Source organism: Homo sapiens, chromosome 10 (genome assembly GCF_000001405.40).
Source record: "Homo sapiens chromosome 10, GRCh38.p14 Primary Assembly".
Taxonomy (NCBI): domain Eukaryota; kingdom Metazoa; phylum Chordata; class Mammalia; order Primates; family Hominidae; genus Homo; species Homo sapiens.
Genome location: NC_000010.11, coordinates 94,547,465 through 94,574,411, shown reverse-complemented (window position 1 = coordinate 94,574,411; position 26,947 = coordinate 94,547,465). Strand labels below are relative to the sequence as shown.

Below are 26,947 nucleotides of genomic sequence, written 5' to 3'. Positions count from 1 at the left end.
AACACTGGAAAGTCCTTTATCAAAGCCATAAAAGTGCTGGAAGCCATTAACAAGGTAATTTCTACTTCTAAAAATTCAGGGTAAAGAAATCAGAAAGCAAGTATCCACATACAAATGTATAATAGTGAAACATGATAGAAATGACTCAAGTTGTGGTACCTCAAATCATTAGGCTACTATAGAAATAAAACCAGTATCTTGTATTAAAAATTCCAATTCATTACCCTAAGCCATTCCATGCCTTCTACTTGGTACCATCGCATCACTCCTCCAGTGAAGTGCTTTGGTTGTTGAAAAGGTACTGGCTGACCATTACACTTCCGGACTGGGTCAAAAAAGAATTTAGTATTCTGCCTAACCGTTTCAGACAATCTATCTTTAATTATACTATTCGAATCTTTATTTTTCTGAAGATCTTCCACACAGAGATTAGTAGAGGAGGAGTTTTCATCCTGTAGAGAAAAAAAGTTTAATAAGATGTGTTATACAAAATGCTGCTGTATGCCACCATTTATCAGAAAATGCAACTAACAAAATCTACTGAGTCCTATAATCATTAAGTATAGAAGACTAAGATCACACCTGGATTAAAAAACTGGAGACATCGCCATCCCTCTACAAATGAAAAGCTACTAAAAAAAAAAATAACAGGCTGCCACAGTGGCTAATCCTACAATCACAGCACTTTGGGAAGCTGAGGCAGGAGGATCACCTGAGTCCAGGTATCCAAGACAACCCTGGACAACATGGCGAAACCCTGTGTCTACTAAAAATACAAAAAATTAGCTGGGTGTGGTTGCACGCAACTGCCTGTATCCCAGCTACTCGGGAGGCTGAGGATCACTTAAACCCAGGAAGTCAAGGCTGCAGTGAGCCATGAACACAGCCACTGCACTCCAGCCTGGGTGACAGAAGACTCCATCTCAAAAAATAAAATAAAATAAAATAAAATAAAATATAAAAATCTGAGAATAACCCTTACAAATTAAAATCAGGCACATACTTTTGAAAAGATCATTAGAATTGTATCTCTCTTCCAAACTTCTAATATTGTGATACTCAATAATTTATTAAACTGTTACACAGAAAATACAGTACGCATAAATAAGACGGGCAAAAGATATTAACAGATACTTTACAAAAGAAAACATACAGGCCGGGCATGGTGGCTCACGCCTGTAATCCCAGCATTTTGGGAGGCCAAGGCAGGCAGATCATGAGGTCAAGTGATCAAAACCATCCTGGCCAAAATGGTGACACACTGTCTCTACTAAAAATACAAAAATTAGCTGAACATGGTGGCATGAGCCTGTTGTCCCAGCTACTTGGGAGGCTGAGGCAGGAGAATCGCTTGAACCTGGGAGGCAGAGTTTACAGTGAGCCGAGATCGTGCCATTGCACTCCAGCCTGGGCGACAGAGTGACACTCCATCTCAAAAAAGAAAAAAAAAGAAAGAAAACATAGTTATCAAAGAACATAAAAATATACTCTACTTCAGTAGTAATTAGGAAAATGCAAGTTAAAAACCACACAAGTTACCATTTCTCATCTAATAAAATGGCTGAAATTAAAAAGACTATCAAATGCTGACAATAATGTAAGCTGGAGTTTTCAAACATTGCTGGCGAGAGAATAAAATGATGTGTTTACTTTGGGGGGGAAAATCTGTACTTTCTTATGAACACACATTTGCCACGTAACACAACAATACCATTCCCAGGTACACAGGCAGAAAGTATGAAAACATGTCTACACATGGACTTGTGTGCAAATTATCATAGCAACCTTACTCATAAAAGTCACAAACTGCAAACAACCCAAATGCCCATCAATAAGGGGATGGATGAGAAAATTGTAACATTCATTCAACAGAATACTAGTCAATAAGAAGAAACCGGTTACTAATATGCTCAACAACATAAATGAGTATCACAGACATGTTGAGTGGAAAGGAAATAATAAGCCATCCTATAAAAGGTGTAAAAAGTGGCCTCCTCTGGGTTTGGGGGTGGAAAGACATAGAAGAGATCCCTTTACAATGGAAATGTTCTATACCTTGATTTGGATGGTGGTTACACAAGTGTATGCAAGTGTCGAAATTCATTAAAATACCATACTTAACAACTATTTCTTACTGACTGTAAGTTATAAAATGAAGCCAAAATCCCATAGTAAATTACAGAAGATTACATCTAGACTTTATCTTAAAAATCCAACTAAATGTTTATCTAACTAAATCTTTAAAAATCCAACTAAACTGCACCCATAAACCAGTCCTTAATAACTTAACAAAGAATAAAAACCAAGACACTTTTACAATATAAATTTTGGACAAAATTATATGACCAAATAGATTATCTCTCATTTTATAAACATAACATTAATTTCCCAAAGGCCTAAAAATCTTTAATATGTAAATTAACTACCTGAAGTTCATATCCATTCATGAATATTTTCATGTCATGATTATTTTGCTTCCCTAGGCAACCTTGTAATTTTAAGTACTTGAACAATAAAAAGTCAGATAACAAGGAACCTCTCTACATGAAATGGGCTAAGTGAAGAGGTGGCTCGGAAATCAAGCCTTCTCAAACAGAACTTTTAAGAAACTTAAAAAATCTTTAAGGTCTGAAGCAAGATTAAGGCATCCCTCACAGCTTCCATAAGATGATTCACGGTTTATATCCACATGGTTACGAGCACTTGTATCACTGCCAGATTCACAAGTTAAAAGCAACATTGCTAGACCCATAAATTAACATTTATACATCAAGAATCATGCAATAAAACAACTAACTAAAGTTGATACATAAAAAAGAAGAATGTTGGATATGGAAGAAGTGAATACATAGGTATTTTTTTTTAAAGCAAAGAAACAGGATAATAGTGAGAAGAACGTATACTGCTGATTAAAGAAAAAGGACTAGTAACTGAGGAGTAAATATGACTTCTAAACTTAATCTTACATTATAAATTTCTTACCTCATTCTCCTTTTTATTTTTTTTAGCCACAGACAAAATTTCCTAGTAGTTTGAGAAAACAAAAACAAATTAATAATGTATGAAGTTCATTTATTTATTTATTCAACAAGCATTTATTCTGTGCTCATTTTGCCAGGAAATGAGGATGAGATTCTCAAGATAAAACTAGTAGCCTTCAGGCAGAAATAAGCCTATAGACATTACTGGCTCATAATATTTCATAACATTCTAGGCTAATTTGGGAACACTTATACAATGGGATATTTCATCAAATACAGTGATTTTCCAGCTTTTCTTTCTTTTAATCTGAGTAGATTAAGTACAAATTCACACATGGCAACAAACCTCTAGTCCTGGGGTCAGCAAACTACAGCCTGTAGACCAACTCCAGCTAAGCGAATACACAGGTATTTTTTTAAAAGCAAAGAAATGGGATAAATTGGAACAAAGTCAGCCTCACTTGTTTACGGTTTGTCTATGGCTGCTTTCAAGCAACAACAGCAGAGTACAGGGTTGAGTAGTTGCCCACAAAACTACTCAAAAGCTAAAAATATTTACTATCTGGCTATTTACAGAAAAAGTTTGCCAAACCATGTTACAGCCCACTTTAGGCCTCTGTGGATAGACATCTGAGTTTGCATTCCTGGGTAAGAGGCAAAGACAGAAAAAATTAAAAATACAGAATAAAGTGCTCTGATTTTGAAGTACCTACTAGATGCTGCTGGTAGGGAGACAAACAATACCCGAGTATGTCACTGGATGACTTAGCAAATAATTATCTTACATAAAATTATCTAAAAAGTTGTCACCAGGCTTCATCATTCAAGATAGTGAGGGTAGATTTCAAGCAGAGAGAATATAGAAGGCATAGGGGATGAAGTAGATTCAAAACAGCAATATCAAATTTAAGATTCATAGAAGAGTAACAGGACATGTAAGTGGCTGACACACACACATATATATACATGGGAATATATGTATATCGTGTGTGTATGAAGTATTATGTATGTATAGATATTCATATTATAAGGCTGAGGCTAAAAGGATTTTATACCAGGAACTGATAAAAGCTGTCCTGTAAAATGACTAGATAAAATGAAACTTTTGAAAGAACAATTTGGAAATAAATCAAAATCTATAAATACCACCAATGAAGTATTCTTATTAAAAATCAAGCATGGGCAACATGGTGAGATCCCATCTCTACAAAAAATATAAATGTTGGCTGGGCTTGGTGGTACACGCCTGTAGTCCCAGCTACTCAGGAGGATGAGGTGGGAGGATTGCTTGAGCCCAGCAATCAGAGGTTCAATGAGCCGAGATGGCACCACTGCACTCCACCCTGGGCAACAGAGAAAGATCTTGTCTCCCAAAAAAAAATAAAAATAAAAAAAAAAATAAAAAAACACCTTAATCACAAACTTCCGTATTTAACTTATAGTTACTATAGTTAACAGGAAACACAAGAGGCAGAGAAATCATGGGGATACAATCAGTAAAGTCTAGAATGTGGGGAATTATACAGAATTACTCATTTTCTTCAACAAATAATGTTTCTTAAAAAAGATGAGAGACACTCTAGATCTAAAAGAGACCCAAGATACGCATTAATCAAACACAATTTATGTAACTTTTTCGGATCCTGATTTGAACCAACTATTTTTTTAAAATGTATGAGCTAAGCAGATCACAGCGGTAAGTGCCTATAGTCCCTGCACTACTACTCGGGACACTGAGGCAGGAGGATCATGTGAGCCCAGGTGTTTGAGGTGTAGTCACTATGACAATACTCAGGAATAGCCACTGCACTCCAGTCTCGTCAATACAGCAAGCCCCCATCCCTAAAAATAAAAATTAGCCTATTGAGAAATTTAAATATTAAGGAATTCCCATCGACTTTCAAAAGTGTGGTAACTGTATTGTGGTTATGGTTCTAAAAAATAGTCTTGGCCGGGCATGGTGGCTCAAGCCTGTAATCCCAGCACTTTGGGAGGCCAAGTCAGGCAAATCACAAGGTCAGGAGTTTGAGACCAGCCTGGCCAACATGGTGAAACCCTGTCTCTACTAAAAATACAAAAAATTAGCTGGGCGTGGTGGTGGGCACTTGTAATCCCAGCTACTTGGGAGGCTGAGACAGGAGACTCACTTGAACCCAAGAGGCAAAGGTTGTAGTGAGCCGAGATCATGCCACTGCACTCCAGCCCAGGTGACAGTGCGAGACTCCACCTTAAGAAAAAAAAAAAGTCTTGCTGAGCTTTTTGTTAAAATATCCCAGAATTAAAAAGCGATTGGCTGGGCGTGGTGGCTTATGCCTCTAATCCCAGCACTTTGGGAGGCCGAGGCGGGCGGGTCACCTGAGGTCAGGAGTTCAAGACCAGCCTGACCAACATGGAGAAACCCCATCTCTGATAAAACTAAAAATTAGCCGAGCATGATGGCACATGCCTGTAATCCCAGCTACTCGGGAGGATGAGGCAGGAGAATCGCTTGAACCTGAGAGGCGGATGTTGCTGTGAGCCAAGATCATGCCACTGCACTCCAGCCTGGGCAACAAGAGTGAAACTCTATCTCAAAAAAAAAAAAAGTGATAAAGGTGGACATTCAATTTACTATCCTCTAAACATTTGTAATTTTTGAGATTTTCCGTAATACAAAGAAAAAGAACATACATATACCAAAATGTTAGTGATTATCTGTGTGACAGCTTTTCAGGTGATTTCCTTGTATTTTGTTTATTCTCAAATTTTTCTACAAGAAAATGCAATTCCTTGTGAAACCATAAAAAGTAATGGAGGTTATGAGTAATTATATTTGAGTTTCAGAAAAACCAATCTGGTACTCTTGACAATGAGAGCTAGACTAGGATTATAAAAATCAATTAAGAAACTACTATAAATAGGGCACAGTAAGGGCATAAACACCAGAGTAGCAGCAAATGAAATGACTCACAGAAATCGATAAAAATCTAGATATATAAGGAAATTCAGATAACCTCCTAAATTGTTTTAGATGACACAGTAGATACTGGTTCTGATATTAACACCAAAAAAAGAGAAAACAAAAGAGCAAGATTCGGAAGAGAGGAAAAGATAAATTGTTTGCTTTGTGCTAGGTATCAATTTCAAAGATACCAATAAATTCAACTGGTAGGCGTAAAACTGCTCAACTGCATAATGTGTAAGGAAATATGCACAGGCTACTCTTTAAAAAAAAAAAAAAAAGGGCCAGGCGCGGTGGCTCACGCCTGTAATCCCAGCCCTTTGGGAGGCCAAGGCAGATGGATCACAAGGTCAAGAGATCTAGACCATCCAGGCCAAAATGGTGAAACTCCATCTCTACTAAAAATACAAAAATTAGCTGGGCGTGGTGACGTGTGCCTGTAGTCCCAGCTACTCAGGATGCTGAGGCAGGAGAATCACTTGAACCCGGGAGGCGGAGGTTGCAGTGAGTCAAGATCGCAGCACTGCATTCCAGCCTGGCGACAGAGCGAGACTCTCTCTCCAAAAAAAAAAAAAAAAAAAAAACCAGGGTTTCATTCTCTTGCCCATGCTGCAGTGCAGTGGCGCAATCTCACCTCACTGCAGCCTTCACCTCCCCAGGCTCAGGTGATCCTCTCACCTCAGCCTCCTGTGTAGCTGGGACCAAAGTCATGCACCACCACACCTGGCTATTTCTGTATTTCTTTTTGTAGAGACAGGATTTCGCCATGTTGCCCAAACTAGTCTTAAACTCCTGGGCTTAAGTGATCCTCTCACCCTGGCCTCCCAAAGTGCTGGGATAACAGGTGTCAGGCATCATGTCCAGTCCAGCCTACTCTTAAAAAGCTTGGAAATAGGCCGGTGCAGTGGCTCATGCCTGTAATCTCAGCACTTTGGGGGCCAAGGTGGGTGGATCACCTGAGATCGGGAGTTCGAGACCAGCCTGACCAACATGGAGAAACCCCGTCTCTACTAAAAATACAAAATTTGCCAGGCGTGGTGGCACATGCCTGTAATCCTAGCTACTCGGAAGGCTGAGGCAGGAGAATCGCTTGAACCTGGGAGCCGGAGGTTGCAATGAGCCGAGATGGCGCCATTGCACTCCAGCCTGGGCAACAAGAGCAAAACTGTGTCTCAAAAAAAACCTTGGAAATAAAGAATAAAAAACAGGGCAATCTAGAAAGACTGGATCAAAAATTTTTGTTCTGCAGACAGGAAAACACAATGTATCTATAATTGAAAGGCAAAGACCCAGTGAGGAAGGAAAAGGTGAAGAAACAGAAGGGATAACTTGGAGGAGCAGGGTCCACAGTGGCAGAACACTCAATTGGGTTATACCCCTCCAAATGCATTCACAGATTTAGAGATTCTTCAGCAAGTAAGGTGAGAATGAAACAATGGAAAGAATTTAGTTAGGCGAAGAGGAAAAGAGAGCAGGAAATTCAGTAAATATACAGAAGAAAGAAGTAACAGTAAATGAAAGAATAACTGGTATGGGACCAGGCATGGTGGCTCACACCTGTAATCCCAGCACTTTGGAAGGCAGAGGCAAGCAGATCACTTCGGGTCAGGAGTTTGAGACCAGCCTGGCCAAGATGGTGAAACCACCTCTCTATGAAAAAATACAAAAACAGCCAGGCGTGGTGGCACGTGCCTGTAGTCCCAGGCGCTGGACTACTCAGGGAGCTGAGGTGAAAGAATTGCTTGAACTGGGAGACGGAGGTTGCAGTGAGCCGAGATCACCACTGCACTCCAGCCTGGGCCACACAGTGAAACTCTGTCTTAAAAAAAAAAAAAGAAAAGAAAAAGAAAGAAAGAAAAACTACTATGCCCACAGATCTCTGAATAAACTAGCCAAGTGATTTACCAAAATGGAAATTTGCTTAAAATCTTTCAATAGCTTCCTACTTTACTTATGGCAGCCTTAAACTCCTGACCATGCTTACATCGACAGCTTCATCCTTCCTTCATCACTCTTTTCACTTATATACAAATTGGAGGCAAATATAATTTACTTCAAGTTTTTTGAAACTGCCAGTCTCTCTTGACCCTGGATATTTGTTCAATGCTATTATTTCTTCCTAAAACACCTCCCCCACTATCTTACCTGTACTTTACTCTTTCCCTATTAATCCCACCTTTAAATAATTTAACTTTTATCCTTCAAGTCACAACACAGATATCATTTCCTTTTCATAGATGAAAAGGTTCAGGAACTGCATGCCAGAGTGAAGAGCCCCTCTAATATGGTGTATAAACATCCAATTCCCAACCGGACACAGTGGCTCAGACCTGTAATCCCAGTACTCTGGGAGGCCGAGGCAGGAGCCCAAAAATTCGAGGCCAGCCTAGACAACATGACAAAACCCCATCTCTACAAAAAATACAAAAATCAGCCAGGCCTGGTGGCACAGGCATGTAGTCCCTGCTACTGGGGAGTGTGAGATACGAGGATCACTTGAGTCTGGGAGGTTGAGGCTGCAGTGAGCTGAGATTGTGCCAGCTGCATTCGAGCCAGGGTAATAGAAACACTGTCTCAAAAAAAAAAAAATTCAATTTCATTGACTACTTACTCCTATATCTCTCTCTGTATGCAGGCTAAGGTGAAGACAGCATTTACCTTTCTTTACTAATGGATTTCATCCACCTATGACAAAGTTTGCCCAAAACCGATATTCCACAACCATTTAACAAATTAAATAAACAGCTGTATGACTGGCTAAACTTCAGTATGGCATATTAAAAGTGGTTTTTCTTTTTTGAGATGGAATTTCACTCTTGTTGCCCAGGCTGGAGTGCAATGGTGCCATCTCAGCTCACTGCAACCTCCGCCTCCGGGGTTCAAGCAATTCTCCTGCCTCAGCCTGCCCAAGTAGCTGGAATTACAGGCATGTGCCACCAAGCCCAGCTAATTTTGTATTTTTAGTAGAGATGGGGTTTCTCCATGCTGGTCAGGCTGGCCTCGAACTCTTGACATCAGGTGATCCTCCCACCTTGGCCTCCCAAAGCGCCGGGGTTTACAGGTATGAGCCACCACGCCCAGCCTAAAAGTGTTTTAAACTGCAAGTTGAATAGATACCATAATGAATTTCAGTGGACCCTAACTTTGTTTTTTTTGAGACAGAGTCTTGCTCTGCTGCCCAGGCTGGAGTGCAGTGGCATCATCTCAGCTCACTGCAACCTCTGCCTCCCAGGTTCGTGATTCTCCTGCCTCAGCCTCCTGAGTAGCTAGGACTACAGGCGCAAGCCACCATTCCCAGCTAATTTTTATATTTTTAGTAGAGACGGGGTTTCACCATGTTGGCCAGACAGGTTTCGAACTCCTGGCCTCACGGGATCCACCCGCCTCAGCCTCCCAAAATGCTGGGATTACAGGCGTGAGCCACTGCTCCCGGCCCCCTGACGATTATTTTTCAGTGAAAAACTATCATTGCATCCCTAGAGAAAAGGAAAACTATTATGTAAATTTTTCTTCTGAAGAGCTAGAGTTTGAACTTCAGGTAAAAGAACAACAGTAGACAATAGAGTTGTGCTTTTTTTTTTAAATATAAGAATGTGGCCAGGAGTGGTGCCTCATGCCTGTAATCGCAGCACTTTGGGAGATAAAGGCGTGAGGATCACCTGAGGTCAGTAGTTCAAGACCATCCTGGCCAACATGGCAAAACCCTGTCTCTACTAAAAATACAAATAGGTACCTGTAATCCCAGCTTCTCAGAAGCTGAGACATAAGAATCGCTTGAATATGGGAGGTGGAGCTTGTAGCAGTGAGCCGAGATCGCGCCACTGCACTCCAGCCTGAGGGACAGAGCAAGACTGTCTCCAAGAAAAAAAAAGGAAGAATGTGACACATTAAAAACATGCTAAGGAACTGGTTTGTCAGAACTGAAGATGCTCTAATTCATTCATATTTTTAAGTAAAAAGTGAGAAATGAAAAAAAGAAGCTGGTTTTAGAAAAGAGCATATGATTTCAGTTTCGTAAAAGTCTTCAACAAAAAACAAGAATAAAGTTCTTAAGACAAGGTTAGGGGTTACAAAAAGTTAAATTATAGTGACAATTTCTGACTAGGCCAGGCTCAGACTCGTTTAACAAAGAGCTGGTACCATCTTTTTCCCTGAAATACTTATCTGCTCTGGTCAGACAGTGTCTTTACTACCCTACCCTTTCCCCCCAACTCTCCGCAACATATATGTAATTTTAAGCTCTATGCCCATGCCTGTTGTTTCCACAGTTCCTTGCAAAATGCTATACAAGTCCACTAGGTACTTAACAAGCACAAGATAATAGGTAGAGTCAAAGCTATTACTGTTATCTGTAATAACCCAAATAAGAAAACCAGCAAAGGCCGGGTGCAGTGGCTCACGCCTGTAATCCCAGCACTTTTGGAGGCCAAGGCGGGTGGATCCCCTGAGGTCAGGAGTTCAAGATCAGCCTGGGCAACACACTGAAACCCCATCTCCACTAAAAATACAAAATTAGCCGGGTGTGGTGGCACATGCCTGTAATCCCAGCTACTCAGGAGGCTGAGGCAGGAGAATTGCTTGAACCTGGGAAGCGGAGGATGCGGTAAGCCTAGATCGCACCATTGCATTCCAGCCTGGGCAGCAAGGGTAAATCTCCGTCTCATCAAAAAAAAAAAAAAAAGAAAAGAAAACCAACAAAAAGCTGGGCACACTGGCTCACACTTGTACTCTCAGCAGTTTGGGAGGCTGAAGCAAAAAGATCATTTGAACCCAGGAGTTCAAGAGCAGCCTAGGCAACATATGACATCTCATTGCTACAAAAAATTTAAAAATTAGCCAGCTGTGCATGGTGTCACACACCTGTAGTCCCAGCTACTCAGGGGGCTGAGGTAGGAGGATCACTTGAGCCCATGAGGTCGAGGCTGCAGTGAGCCATGATTGTGCCACTGCACTCCAGCTTGAGTCACAGAGTGATACCCTGCCTCAAAAAAAGAAAAGAAGAAAAAAAAGAAGGAAGCTAGAAAGGAAGGAAACGAAAGAAAGAAAAGAAAACCAGAACAACCTAAAGGTGTAAGCCTATTTGCCACTTAAGTGAGGATGGGCGCAATGGCTCACGCCTGTAATGTGGCATTTTAGGAGACCGAGGCGGGCGGATCACCTTAAGTCAGGAGTTCAAGACCAGCCTGGCCAACATGGTGAAACCCCATCTCTACTGAAAATACAAAAATTGGCCAGGCGTGGTGGTTGGCACCTGTTATCCCAGCTACTTGGGAGGCTGAGACAGGAGAATCGCTTGAACCCGCGAGGTGGAGGTTGCAGTGAGCAGATATAGTGACACTGCAAGGCAGCATGGACCACAGAGCTCCATCTCAAAAAAAAAAAAAAGTCTATGAAGGTCAGATGACATTAGTTTCAGATTAGTCTCAAGTCTACTGTAGGTTGGTAGATAGCTTCAAACATTTTGGCAGCTTCACCTATAAATGATATATAATATTAAATTCAAAACATATTTCATGTGATATTGAATATTCAATCTTTACAGATTTAAGGTGGTTTAAAACCTACATTTTACTCAACATCAAATGTTAGGTGCCCTCTCCCTTTTATTTTTACCTCTTTTGACATGACCTCTGAAATATTGTATGATTCATCTTCTCTTCCTCTTTTTTTCCTCATAACTATAAAAAAAAATTTTATTTTTGATAGCAATTAAAATAGAAATATAAACGCATATTCTTCAAAACTAGAATAAGGATATTTACCTGGCTTCTCTTCACTTGCATCAATTGAATTTTTACCCTACAAAACAAGGATTCAGAATATTGATTTTATTAAGGACCTTCATAGTATTATACGTTAAAAGGCACTGATTAACTTGAGAAAAAATATGTTTCCTGCAATTGAGCCACATCCACAATTTTTCACTATTATACTTACCTACATGTAATATTTTTCTGTATTTCCCTACTATAACTTGTTCATAATCTCTGCTTTTTCCCAAGGGCTCTACTTCTGTCCATTTTTTTCCATTTAGAAGAGAAATTTCAAAATTAAACATAGTTGGCATTTCGTTTGTTTGTTTTTTGGAGACGGAGTTTCACTCTTGTCGCCCAGGATAGTGTGCACTGGTACAATCTCGGCTCATTGCAACCTCCGCCTGCCAGGTTCAAGAGATTCCCCTGCTTCAGCCTCCAGAGTAGTGGGGATTACAGGCACCTGCCACCACGCCCGGCTAATTTTTGTATTTTTAGTAGAGATGGGGTTTCACCACGTTGGCCAGCTAGTCTTGAATTTCTGACCTCAGGTGATCCGCCCGCCTAGGCCTCCCCAAGTGCTGGGATTACAGGCGTTGAGCCACTGCACCCAGCCCATAGTTGGCATTTTTATTTAGAAATACCATGTACATCTTGGCCGGGCGCGGTGGCTCAAGCCTGTAATCCCAGCACTTTGGGAGGCAGAGGCGGGCAGATCATGAGGTCAGGAGATCACGACCATCCTGGCTAACATGGTGAAACCCTGTCTCTACTAAAAATACAAAAATAGGTATTTTTGTAGGGTAGGGTATTGAAGGAATACCCTTCAATAGGTAGGGTATTGAAGGAATATTCATTGTGAATGAAATTCATACATTAAATATAACCCAAAGCAGAAATAAAAGAGAATACTAATGGAAAATTATTAGTGAGGAAGGTAAGAGAAATGAGATGTTAAGAAACAGTTTCTGGCCAGGTGCAGTGGCTCACACCTATAATCCCAGCACTTTAGGAGGACTAGGTAGTAGGATTGCTTGAAGCCAGGAGTACAAGACCAGCTTGGGCAACAAAGCAAGATCCCCACCTCTATAAAAAATGCGAAAATTAGCTGAGCATGGTGGTGTGCACCTGTAGTCTCAGCTACTCAGGAGGCTGAGGTGGGAAGATGGCTTGACCCCAGGAGTTCAAAGCTGTAGTGAGCTACTATGGTGCTACTGGACTCTAGCCTGGGCTACTGAGACATCACCTCTAAAAAAATTTTTTAAGTTTCAAAATAGTTGACGCCCTTATGAAAAAAGCAGAGGGGAAAAAAATCAAAACCCTGGTATAAAAAGTTAGGTGGAATAAAGTGAAGGATATATTAAATTAACAGGTTAAAGAGCAGGGAATAAATGACTAAGCCAGTAAAATTGTCATATAAATAAAAACATGTTCTTCAAAACCCCTAGGTAAGGCCAGTTGTGCTAGCTCATGCCTGTAATCCCAGCACTTTCAGAGGCCAAGGTATGGGTGTGGGTGTGGGGGATAGCTTAAGCCAAGGGGTTCGAGACCAGCCTGGGCAACATAGTGAAGCTCTGTCTCTATGAAAATAAAAATCTGAAAAGCCCTAGGTAAGTCTCTGAAATTAGCAAGTGAGTCAAGGATCAGAGGGTTTTTTTTTTGTTTTTTTGTTTTTTTTTTTGAGACAGAGTCTTGCTCTGTCACCCAGGCTGGAGTCCAGTAGCATGATCTCAGCTCACTGCAACCTCGGCCTCCTAGGTTCAAGCAATTCTCCTGTGTCAGCCTCCCGAGTAGCTGGGATTACAGGTACCCGCCATCATGCCTGGCTAATTTTTGTATTTTTAGTAGAGACTGGGTTTCACCATGTTGGCCAGGTTGGTCTCCAGCTCTTGACCTCAGATGATCGGCCCACCTTGGCCTCCCAAAGTGCTGGGATTGCAGGCGTGAGCCACCGTGCCTGGCCCATTTTTATTTTTTAATACTCTCTCTCTCAGTGACTCAGTATTACCAGTTTTATGTATTTATTTATTTATTTATTTAGGAACAGAGTCTCCCTCTGTGGCCCAGACTAGAGTGCGGTGATGCAATCTTGGCCCACTGCAACCTCTGCCTACCGTGGTTCAAGTAATACTCGTGCCTCAACCTCCCAAGCAGCTGGGACTACAGGCACACACCACCACGCCCAGCTAATTTTTTGTATTTTTAGCAGAGACAGGGTCTCATCATGTTGACCAGGCTGGTCTCGAACTCCTTGCCTCAAGGAATCCATCTGCCTCAGCCTCCCAAAGTGTTGGGATTATAGGCGTGAGCCACCACACCTAGCAGTATTACCAGTTTTAAATAATGGGTTTTGTTGCAAAACAGTCTGCAAAATACTTTATCAGGCATTTTAACATCACCATTAACTAGTCTAAGAATCAAATAACTGGACTTAATCTCAGCACTTTGGGTGGCCAAGGCAAGTGGATCACAAGATCAGGAGTTCAAGACCAGCCTGGCCAAGATGGTGAAACCCTGTCTCTTCTAAAAATACAAAAATTAGCCGGGTGTGCTGGCAGGTGCTTGTAATCCCAGCTACTTGGGAGGCTGAGGCAGAGAATTGCTTCAACCCAGGAGACAGAGGTTGCAGTGAGCCGAAATCACGCCACTGCATCCCAGCCTGGGTGACAGAACGAGACTCCGTCTCAAAAAAAAAATAAATAAATAAAAGGCAGTTTAGCACAGAAGCTAAGTAGAAGCTCTTAAACTAATCCTGGGTTCAAATCCGTAATTTTCAGCAAATTAGAGTCAGCTCTCATTATCTGCAGTACTTGTGGTTCGATAAAATCACTATGACTATTGACTTATTGCCCCTAGGAAAAATACAAGCTTGGGTCTCTGACTCTGGTTATGACATTTTCAACCAAACGATACACAACCCTGTTTTATTTGTGTTTCTGTTTTTAAAGATATCTTATTTAATATATATGTTGATTAATATTGAACTCAGGGCCAGCTGGGTGCAGTGGCTCTCGCCTGTAATCCTAGCACTTTGGGAGGCTGAGGCGGGTGGATCATGAGGTCAGGAATTCGAAACCAGCCCACCCAATATGGTGAAACCCTGTCTCTACTAAAAATACAAAAATTAGCCAGGCATGGTGGCGCGCACCTGTAGTCCCAGCTACTCGGGAGGCTGAGGCAGAAGAATTGCTTGAACCCAGGAGGTGGAGGTAGCAGTGAGCTAAGATTGCACCACTGCACTCCAGCCTGGGCGACAGAGCAAGACTCTGTCTCAAAAAAATAAAATAAAATAAAATAAAATAAATAAATAAATATCGAACTCAGGGCCAACAGCACTGTACCTCATGCCTCAATGAAGCTTACCCAAGACATACTTTCTCCATATGGCACAGCCTTTTTGTACTTAGAAACACTAGACAGCACTTTGGTACAATAGTTGGGGGCCATTTTAACAGCAAAATCACCATGAAAAAGCACAAAAAAACGCAAAAGTTATGGTGCTAAATAAAGACCATGAAAAGGATATATGCTTGACATACATATGGTAGCAGAAAACAAAGAACAGCAACCCATGTTTGAGCTGAGCTTGGAACATATGTATTGGAGGACTAAAATTCTTTGCTGCTCTGAACATAAGCATATCCAAAAATGACCATGACGGTGTCAGGAATCTTGACTCTGGGGTTACAAATAAATGTAAGTGAGTAGGCGAATTCACAAATATAGAATCCTTGAATATGATTGTTCTTTATCTCCTTGCATCAGCCTATTTATGTAAAATGGGGGAAAAAAGTACCTCTACCTAAAAAGAACTGTTGTGAGAGTAAGGGAAAACAGGCTGGGCGTGGTGGCTCATGCCTGTAATCTGAGCACTTTGGGAGGCCGAGGTGGGCAGATCACAAGGTCAGGAGATGGAGACCATCGTGGCTAACACAGTAAAACTCTGTCTCTACTGAAAATACAAAAAATTAGCCAGGCATGGTGGCGGGCGCCTGTAGTCCCAGCTACTCGGGAGGCTGAGACAGGAGAATGGCGTGAACCCGGGAGGCAGAGCTTGCAGTGAGCCGAGATTGCGCCACTGCACTCCAGCCTGGGTGACAGAGCGAGTCCCCGTCTCAAAAAAGAAAAAAAAAATAGAGTAAGAGAAGACATGATAGCACACCTGACCCACAGTATGTATTCAATAAATTATTTCTCTTTTCACTAGCAAAACTTCATTACAGGTTTCAAAGAAGGTGGCCACTTACAAAATGCCTTGAAGTTTAAATTTGCAGATTCTTTCCAATTAAGAAAGTCAAATTTTGCCAACGTCCAAAATAATCCATAGAATAAGAAACTAAAGTGGACCATACTTTGGCTCTTTCTCCATTTCTTAAATAGTGAGGAACAGATTTTACATGTTTCTGCATTGCTTGTAACAAAGTTAGGTTTATCACTAAAGAAACTTAAAATTAAACAGATGATCAAAAAAGTCAGAAGAATACAAAAGTATTTCTTCAATATTTAAATGACATAAAAAATATTCCGGCTGGCTATATTACCTTTTTAACTTTTAAAGACTCCTTTTTTCTCTCCAATTTTTCTTTCTTCTTCTGTTCCTGTAAGACAATTTTTTCTTATGTCACAAGTGGAAAGTGCAACATTTAAAAAAAAAACGCATATCAATTCTCAAATAACTTATGTTTACAATGAGAAACTAAGGTCTATCATAATTAAAAACCAGGGAGGAACTTGTACTTCAAGCCTTTATGGACTAATGGGACAGATTTAGCCTCCTGCCTTAAACAACTAAAATCCAGATAAAATTTATTAAACAATGGTTTTCAGACAACATGCAGTAACGGACTGTAAACACTGACAAAACGGAAACAAGGTTAATCTTCTGACTGCCCAGCTTACTGCCTGATACAATTTTAAAGTACAAATAATGGAGAAAAATCCAAACAGAGCCCAACAGTCTCTTTGTGTTGAGGAGACAGAATCCAAAACTTAAGAGCAGTAGCATTCCCAGGGTCAAGTACCAGAGAGGACAAAGCTGCACAAAGGCAGCTGTTATCTCTCTCTCAGGCTGAGTACTGGTAAGTGCATGGTAACCAAGGCCAGGAGAAGAGTCACCAGAAAGAAGCAGGTGGAACCTCTCATGTTCCAAGGGGTCAGGCATAATAAGGTATACCTCACATTCTCTCAGCCAAAGTAGAAAGTCCTCTTAATATAAAGGGCATCAAGTAGAGTGCTCAGAAAAGGGATCAACTTATTCCTAGACTAAAAGCTATTCTAGACATACTCTTACAAATTTTTTAAAGACACCAAAAATTCAAACCATTTCCAAGAGGTGATGAAAGGGGTAGATGCTGTGTAACTCATTAAGTTGAATATTTGTTTTTCCATTTGTTTTACTTTACCATAAAAAAGTAATAAAAGGGTTTCAAACAAAGGAAAAAGGAGATTTGACAAATACAGCAAAATTTAAATTGATAATTTTTAAATGTGGGTGATGGGGACACCGGGACTTACTGTATTCTCTCAATTTGCACAAGTTTTTAAATCTTCATAACAGTCTAGTGGAAAGACAAACAATAAATACAATAAATGATGTATATCAGATGAAAAGTGCAATGGGAAGAACAGAACAAGGTAAAGAGAATCAGGTGTGTTAGCAACTTTCTTAAAATTGTGAGGGCAGGTCTCATCTAGAAACCATTTAAGTCAGGGCTTGAAGATGAAGTTAAGCCATGCAGTTATTTAGAGGAAGAAGGTTCCAGGCATAAAATAGCAAGGGCAAAAGCCCAAGACAGGAAACACATCTGGAGACAGGTCTGAAAGGTAATGGGATTGAGGGAGGCAGTCAAATTGCTTACAGACATATAGACATTATCAGGACTTTCACTTTTCAGAAACAACATAAGCTAGGAGACAGTGAAACATCTTTAAAGTACTCCAAGAAATAAAGTACTAAAGAAAAAAAATTCTTTACCCAGTAAAAACGTATTTCAAAAATGAAGGTAAGTGAAGACATTCAGACATATGAAAGCTAAAAGAACCCATCACCAACAGAAAATGCAAATGAACCTATAATAACAGAAAACAGATCAATTGGCTATCTGTGGATAGAACATGGGGTAGGGACGGGCGAGAAGAATTATAAATAAGCAGAAAGAATTTTTTGGAATCAGTGGGTATGTCCACTATCATGATTGTTATGTCTTCACAAGTATATCCATATATCAAACTTAGGGAATTGTACATTTTAAATATGTGCAGTTTAGTGTATGTCAATTACACCCCAATAACGACATTTCTTAATGGAATCCTTCTCAGGAATAAAAAAAATAACCTACAGAAAAACATGACATGAATGAATCTCAAAAATACACTGAGCAAAAGTAACAAGACAAAGAGTGCATATGTGCAAGAATATTGAGAAAAAAACAAACTCAGTTTCTCCCTACACACTCAACAATCAACACAAAAGACTTCTGTGACCCAATGTGTGGGGGTTTTCCCTATACACCAAACAAGCATTTCTGCAGTGACACCAGCTGGGTGTCCTCTATTGTAATTCAATTCTGACACTATCTACGGGGTGAAAGCACCATACCCCATAGGTTGAGGGTTCAGTCCCCAAGACTTTTAACTACCAGTTCCAGATGCCAATCGCAAGGCCCAAGTCGCCTTACCTGTGCTTCTTACTGAATAGCTATAAATCAGGGTTCCCACAAGCCCCTCTTTGGGTTTGACTAATTTGCTAGAGGAGCTTACAGAACTCAAAGAAACATTAAAGTTTATTGGTTTATTATAAAGAATATGACAGTCCAGGCGCAGTGGCTCACCCCTGTAATCCCAGCACTTTGGGAGGCCAGGGTAAGCAGATCACTTGAGCCCAGGAGTTCCAGACAAGCCTCGGCAACATGGCAAAACTGTCTCTACAAAAAATACAAAAATAAGACAGACATAATGGTGTGCTCCTGTAGTCCCAGCTACTCGGGAGGCCGAGGTGGGAGGGCTGCTTGAACCCAGGAGTCAGAGGTTGCAGTGAGCTGAGATGGTGCACTGCACACCAGCCTGGGCAACAGAGTAAGACTCTGTCTCCAAAAAAAAGAAAGAAAGAAAGAAAGATTACAACATATTCAGAGGAACACCAGAGAAAGAGATGTATAGAACAAGGTATGGAGAAAGAAGCGCAGAGCTTCCATGCCTTTTCTGGATGCGCCATCCTCTCCAGGAACCTCCATGTGTTCAGCTATCCAGAAGTTCTCCAAACCCTGTCCCCTTTTGGGGTTTTTTTTATTTATTTATTTTTGAGGCAGGGTCTCACTCTGTCATCCAGGCTGGAGTCCAGGGGTGCAATCTCGGCTCACTGCAACCTCCGCCTCCTGGGTTCAAGCGATCCTCCTGCCTCAGCCTTCTGAGTAGCTGGGCTTACAGGCACACACCACCATGACCGGCTAATTTTTATATTTTTGGTAGAGACGGGTTTTCACTATGTTACTCAGGCTGGTGTCGAACTCCTGGGCTCAAGTGATCTGTCTGCCTTGGCCTCCCAAAGTGCTGGGATTACAGGCGTGAGCCACTGCGCCCAGCCTGTTTTATTTTTGAGACAGGGTCTTGCTCTGTCACCCAGGCTAGAATGCAGTGGTGCCATCACAGTTCACTGCAGCCTCAATCTCCTTGGCTCAAGCCAACCTCCTGCCTCAGCCTCCCAAGTAGCTGGGACTAGAGGCACATGCCACCTTACCTAGCTAATTTTTCTATTAGAGATAGGGTTTTGCCATATTACCCAGCCTGGTCTCAAACTTCTGGGCTCAAGCAATCCACCCACCTAGGCTCCCCAAAGTGCTGGGATTACAGATGTGAGCCACACCCAGCCCTTTTGGGTTTTTAATGAAGACCTCATAACATAGACGTGATTGATTCAATCGTGACCACTGGTGAACAAGTTAACTTTCAGTCTCTTTTCCTCAAAGTTGAGGGTGAGGCTAAATCCCAACCCTCTAATCCAGGTTTTGTCTTTCTTAGGCTCCCATCCTGAAGCTACCTAAGGGCAGCTAGCCATTGATCATTAGCATTAAAAAAAAAAAAACAAAAAAAAAAACACTATTACTTTGAAGATTCCAAGGATTTCAAGAGTTGTATACCAGGAAATGGTGATGAAGACCAACTATTTACTCACTAGCACAATACCATGATTTCATTTATACAATTTTCTAGGAAAAAACAATACTGGTCTATAGTGACAGAAAGCAAATCAGTAGTTGCTGGACACCAGCCATGGGGATTACTGTCAGCACAAGACAATTTTTTGGAGTTCATGGAAGTGCACTGTATCTTGATTGTGCTGGTGGTTACACAGATCTATATATTTACTAGTCAAAACTCAGCAAACCGTACACTTAAAATCTGTCCATTTTACTGTATATAATATACACTTCAATAAAGCTATTTTTAAATTTTTTTAAGCTTTCACTTGTAGTCAGTTACATATACATACCTCTAATTGTTGCTGTTCCATTTTCGTCAATAAAAATTTGGAGTATATATTGCTTTTTTCAAGCAAATGTTGAAGTCTACGGTACCGAATTTCTGTCGACTCTCTATCCCAAGACATGCGAGCCTATCCAAAGAGAAAATTTCCATAATTATGAACACTTTCTGACATACCTTAATTTTTTTGGCATAAAGTTTAATAAAAATGGCTAAAATAACATTTTTTAAACCAAACACTTTCAAACCAAAAACTGGAACAAATAACTGTTAAAAAAAAAATAGTTTTTGGGTTTAACAGGCAATCTGATAGATGCAATTCGTATATCAAAATATTATAATTTCAAATATTGAACACATGGTTTCTGGCACTACTGAGTTGGAAGGTCCATTTAAAAAACAATTGAAGGCCGGGTGCGGTGACTCACACCTGTAATCCCAGCACTTTGGGAGGCCAAAGCAGGCGGATCACCTGAGGTCGGGGGTTCGAGACCAGCCGGACCAACATGGAGAAACCCCATCTCTACTAAAAATACAAAATTAGCCAGGCGTGGTGGTGCATGCCTGTAATCCCAGCTACTTGGGAGGCTGAGGCAGGAGAATCGCTTGAACCCGGGGGAGGCAGAGGCTGCAGTGAGCCGAGATCATGCCACTGCACTCCAAACAAGAGCAAAACTCCGTACCAAAAAAAAAAAAAAAAAAATTGGGGCCAGGCACGGTGGCTCACGCCTGTAATCCCAGCACTTTGGGAGGCCGAGGAGGGTGGATCACCTGAGGTCAGGAGTTTGAGACCATCCTGGCCAAAATGGTGAAACCCCATCTCTACTAAAACTATAAAAATTAGCAGGACGTGGTGGCGCATGCCTGTAGTCCCAGCTACTCAGGAGGCTGAGGCAGGAGAATTGCTTAAACCCGGGAAGCGGAGGTTGCAGTGAGCTGAGATGGCACCACTGCACTCCAGCCTGGGTGACAGAGTGAGACTCCGTCCGGAAAAAAAAAAAAAGGTATGTGTAATTTGCTAAAACATTGATGTTGTGGTTCCGTGTTATTATATTACCTTGTTATGTACAGATAAGGAAAATTTTTGATTAATTTTGCACTTGACCCTCATAAAAAGTGATTGCCTAGGTGACACTAGAGAATTCTAAGACAAGTTTTCAGAGTCTCTCCCTATTTGAGATTAATAAACAAGTTGATTTGGATAGAACATTTTAGAAAAATACTACCAACACAATTCATCCTAACAATCAAAACAGACATCTAGCCAAGATTAACACCCCCACCCCGTTTTTTAAGGCATGGTCTCATGCTGTAATTGGTGCAATTGTGGCTTACTGCAGCCTCCAAATCCCGGGCTCAAACCACCCTCCCACCTCAGCCTCCCAAGTAGCTGGGACTCTAGGCAGATGCCACCATGCCCTGTTAATTTTTTGTATTTTTTTTTTTTGTAAAGACAGGGTTTCACCATATTGCTAAGGCAGGTCTCCAACTCCTAAACTCAAGAGATTCGTCTGCCTTGTCCTCCCAAAGTACTGGGATTACAGGCATGTGCCACCATGCCCAACCAAGATTACCAATTCTGTAACATGAATCCAGCCTAGTAAATCAACAAACATGTACTGCAACAATTATATAAATTATGTAACTGGTAGAAGACAGAAAGTCTGATTTATACTACAGATGAGACATTAGTGTAATATCTGAAAACAACAAGTATTAAAGACATATACATAGCAGTAAACTGTACAGTACTATCTAAATCCTGAAAAATTGTAAGAATTACTAAAACTGGAGAAGTCAGATTTCAGGAAATAGATGACATCTGAGGGGTCTGAAGGATGGATAAATGAGAGCAGAAAAACTCAAGTTTTGTCAATTACTGTAGAAGTTCCTGCTTTAAGCAACACTGGCCTCAGCAACAGCACTAAAAATCACACTTAAGTTAACTTTAGAATTAAAAAGATTCTAAATTTTATAGATTAGATAGTAGATATGTTTCATTTTATACAAACTCTTGACTTAAAAAGTCTAGTGGCAGATTTTTTAGTATTTTGTTTTCTCAACTAAACCAATTCCTCTACTTTTCAACAAGGATTAGTAAAAACACAAAGTCAACCAATAAAATCTAACTGCCCCTTTCCCCAGTAATTGGTGGTTTCAACTTAAGAGGAAAGTAATTGAGCATTGTTTACAGCGTGTTTGAAATGGGGGATATGAGGCTGGGCGCGGTGGCTCACGCCTGTAATCCCAGCACTTTGGGAGGCTGAGGCGGGCGGATCCCGAGGTCAGGAGATTGAGACTGTCCTGGCTAACACGGTGAAACCCTGTCTCTACTAAAAATACAAAAAATTAGCCGCGTGTGGTTGCAGGCGCCTGTAGTCCCAGCTACTTGGGAGGCTGAGGCAGGAGAATGGCGTGAACCCGGAAGGCAGAGCTTGCAGTGAGCCGAGATCGCGCCACTGCACTTCAGCCTGGGCAACAGAGCGAGACTCCATCTCAAAAAAAAAAAAGAAAAGAAATGGGGGTATGAATTCATTTTTATACTCTAAATAATGCCCTAGCACTTGGGTAGTTTTGCTGCTCCAGCTTATCAATATCTCTAAGATATCATTTTATATTGCCTTACATTTTCCTAGCTATTACATCATCACTATAGCTTTCTTTCAAAATATATTTCTTTTTCTTTTTTGAGATGGAGTCTCACTCTGTTGCCCAGGCTGGAGTGCAGTGGCACAATCCTGGCTCACCTCTGCCTCCGCCTCCCGGGTTCAAGCAATTACCTGCCTCAGCCTCCCCAGTATAGCTGGGACTAGAGGCACCTGCCACCACACCCCGCTAATTTTTGTATTTTTAGTAGAGACGGGCTTTCACCATCTTGGCCAGGCTGCTCTTGAACTGACCTCGTGGTCCACCTGCCTCAGCCTCCCAAAGTGCTGGGATTATAGGTGTGAGCCACCGTACCCGGCATCAAAATATATTTCTATTATAAAATCAGTGACTACAGTAAGATTCTAAGAATGGACCTAACAAAAGTAATGCATACTCATTACAGAAAAACTAAATGTCAAAAAATATATAAATCACCCATAATCCCACCTACACAGATAATTCTTAATATCTTGAACTCAATTTTCAGTTCTTTTAGGACAGAATTTCTTTTACTATTACCAGTATACTACTGTGGTTACAATACGCAACTACTGAGGTGAATATGAAAACAGGGAGATGAAAATTACTTACACAATATATGGATTCTTAAATTTTTAACTTTTAAAATTTAAGTTCAGTTAAAATAACGTGGGTTTAACTTAGATATAGTTGATACCTTAAATCCTGTACAGAATTAGCACTTTTTCTTTTTTCTGAGACAGGGTCTCGCTCTATCACCCAGGCTGGAGTGCAGTGGTGAGATCTCGGCTCAATGCAACCTGCGCCTCCCAGGCTCAAGCGATAATCCTCCTGCCTCACCCTCTTGAGTAGCTAGGACTATAGGCGCGTGCCACCATGCCGGCTAGTTTTTTAATTTTTTGTAGAGATGGGGTTTCACCCTGTTACCCAGGCTGGTCTTAACCCCTGGGCTCAAGCGATCTGCCCCGCCTCAGCCTCCCAAAGTGCTGGGATTACAGGCATGAGCCACCGCGCCTGGCCAGCACATATTTTTAAAACAACTAAATACAGCCAGGCATGGTGGCTCACGCCTGTAATCCTGGCACTTTGGGAGGTCGAGGAAGGCAGATCACGATGTCAGGAGTTTGAGACCAGGCCGGCCAATATGTTGAAACCCCGTCTTTACTAAAAATACAAAAAAAATTAGCTGGGCGTGGTGGCACGCGCCTGTAGTCCTAGCTACTTGGGAGGCTGAGGCAGAAGAATCGCTTAAACCCGGCAGGTGAAGGTCGCAGTGAGCCAAGATCACGCCACTGCACTCCAGCCTGGGTGACAGAGGGAGACTCCGTCTCAAAACAAACAAACAAGCAAAAAAAACCTAAATACTTGCCTGGTGCTCCTGGAAAAATTTTTCCTAAAAAAAAAAATCAGCTGGGCATGGTGGCTAATGCCTGTAATCCCAGCACTTTAGGAGGTCAAGACGGGCGGATCACCTGAGGTTGGGAGTTCGAGACCAGCCTGACCAACATGGAGAAACCCCATCTCTACTAAAAATACAAAATTAGCCAGGCTTGGCGGCACATGCCTGTAATCCCAACTACTCAGGAGGCTGAGGCAGGAGAATTGCTTGAACCCCGGAGGCAGAGGTTGCAGTGAGCCGAGACTGCGCCATTGCACTCTAGCCTGGGCAACAAGAGTGAAACTCTGTCTCAAAAAAATAAAAATAAAAATAAAAATCACTAAAGCTTTAAGATGCCATCATGGAAAAAAATAATATACAATTAATATTAAAATAATACCATGTAAGTGGTTAATCCTTAAACCTGGTCTTCTGTATTTCAAATCTTCCTATCACTGTTTTTTCTTTATTTATCAATTTCATGATTATATTACGGTAAATTGCAACTCCATCTATTAAAAGCACTGAGTGCCTGGCAGGAAACAACTCTGGGTAACTACAGTACAGAGTATGCCAATGGACACCGAGGGCAGAAATTCCTCATTATCTACCCCATTATCTCTCCCAACACCAATCCCAGATTTTTTATTGGGGGGTGGGAGGAGTTCTATTTTAGCCTACACATATCATGATCCTTTTACCTCTCCAAGAAATCTCCTGACTCCAACTATTCCCCCTCCTCCACTTCACAGGCACTATCAGTACTCAAATCTCCTAGACTAACAATGACTTCTTTTAAAGGGAAATACATGTGAAAAGTCAAAGAAAATAACTGTAGCCAATGAATGTCAAAGTCATTTTCTAGGTTCCTCACAAACCTTAGGATTTCCTAAAGCCAAATGCTTCTCATTAAGGAACTTAAGCTAGCTCTTCCTCTGTTAAGTACTTCTAAATACATGCCCATACAGACTGTATTCTCCCAAAAGAAAAGGAATCTCTACCTGTGCATAGTTAATTGTTTGGCCTCCAAAGACATGTTTATTAATCTCAAGTAGGTAGAGACTCTGAAAACTTTTCTTAGAATTTTCTAGTGTCATCTAGGCAATCACTTTTTATGAGGGTCCAGTGCAAAAAATAATCAAAAACTTTCCTTATCTGTACATAACAAGACAATGTAATACGAAACCACAACACTAATGTTTTAGCAAATTACACACTTATATTAAGATTGAAAACGGCTACATACTTTTTTTTTTGAGACGGAATCTTGCTCTGTCACCCAGGCTGGAGTGCAGTGATGCCATCTCGGCTCACTGCAACCTCTGCCTCCTGGGTTCAAGCAATTCTCCTGCCTCAGCCTCCTGAGTAGTTGGGACTGCAGGTATGCGCCACCACATCTGGCTAATTTTTATATTTTTAGTAGAGACGGGGTTTCACCATGTTGGCCAAACTGGTCTCGAACTCCTGACCTCAGGTGATCCACCCGCCTCGGCCTCCCAAAGTGCTGGGATTACAAGCGTGAGCCACCATGCCAGGCCATGAAAACAGCCATATACTTTTTTAATGGAAGGATTAAAAATTACTCTTTAGGTTCTATGATGCATAATTATTAAATTTAGGACTAACTGCAAAATGTTTGTTCATAAGCTTAAAAATGTCATTAAAAGTAGCAGGTCATTTGACCTCAGCAAATATATAAAATACTACATATTTGACTTATCTTTTTTAAATGTGAAGTGTTTCTTCCTTGAATGAATAATACCTTCTGAAAATGTACTGTTGTCATATCTCAGGCATATCTTTCTTTAAATGCTATTTCCCTACCCAACACTCATAATGGGTATATGAAGAAACAAGATAAAACTGAAGATACATTACTCAAGACAAAATTATCACATCCCTCTTAGACTTCTTCAGTTGATTCCATTCTGGGCACTTGCCCCAGAATTTATACTTTATAATTCATCTGGTTATATAGCTAATAAGTATATTTAGTATATGTATATAATCTTGTATATTATAAAATACCATTTTATCATCGTTAGCTATTCAATAAGCACTTACTGATTGCCTACTATGTGCCAGGTGCAAAGCCTACAAAAACAAAACAGCAAGTGATGCACCCTCAAGAAACAAAGTGAGAAAGAATCAAAAAGTAGTATGAAGTATTTATCATTACTTATTTGGTCATGGTAAATTCTGTGTAATAAAGTACTATGAAAATTCAAAGAATGAGAAAAGGTGGTTCAGGTCAGACCTCTCAATTCTGTTAATTCACATCTACCCTGAAGCAAAAAGTATTGATGTTACTTAAAGAAAATTTGTTAATATATTACCTTAACTGGTTATAGTCAACCAGAGATCATCAGTAATAACGGAAGGAGTATTACTGGAGTGGAACTATAGCATGGTAGTTAAAAAATGTGCATTCTAGAACCACATGGCCTACACTGGAATGTTAGCTCTGCCATTTACCAACTGTGGCACCCAAACAACCTCTATGTGCCTCAGTTTCCTCATCTGTAAAATAAGATGACTAATAAAACCTATTTGGTTGTGTAGTTCAATAATAGCAATTGTTTATACTAGTAATTAAACTAGTAAGTTTAATAGCAGTAATAGTAATAATGAACATCTACTTTACAGAATAGTTGAGGATTCAATGAGTAAATACATATAAAGCATTCAAAACAATGCATGACTCCTAATAAATGTTCAAGAAGTATTAACAATGCTGACAAAAAAATTATTGTTGACATAACAGGGAACCAACGGCCTCATTACT

At 40.7% G+C, this 26,947-nt stretch overlaps 1 protein-coding gene across 11 annotated transcripts in view; it reads right to left on the bottom strand.

The window, feature by feature from the left end:
* Positions 1-26,947, bottom strand: part of HELLS (helicase, lymphoid specific) — a 68,118-nt gene that overhangs the window by 39,494 nt on the left and 1,677 nt on the right. For 8 of the 11 annotated variants that reach the window (NM_001289067.2, NM_018063.5, NM_001289075.2 and 5 more), the window contains exons 3-8: positions 20,164-20,286; positions 16,217-16,273; positions 11,685-11,721; positions 11,536-11,600; positions 2,983-3,024; positions 225-452 (exon numbers count right to left, since the gene is read on the bottom strand). In NM_001289067.2, coding sequence (NP_001275996.1) covers positions 225-452; positions 2,983-3,024; positions 11,536-11,600; positions 11,685-11,721; positions 16,217-16,273; positions 20,164-20,286 — 552 coding nt within the window. Of the gene's footprint in view, positions 1-224; positions 6,187-11,535; positions 11,601-11,684; positions 11,722-16,216; positions 16,274-17,189; positions 17,234-20,163; positions 20,287-26,947 lie in introns of those variants that run through there. The other 3 variants (NM_001289071.2, NM_001289073.2, XR_007061960.1) reach the window with 3 other exon arrangements.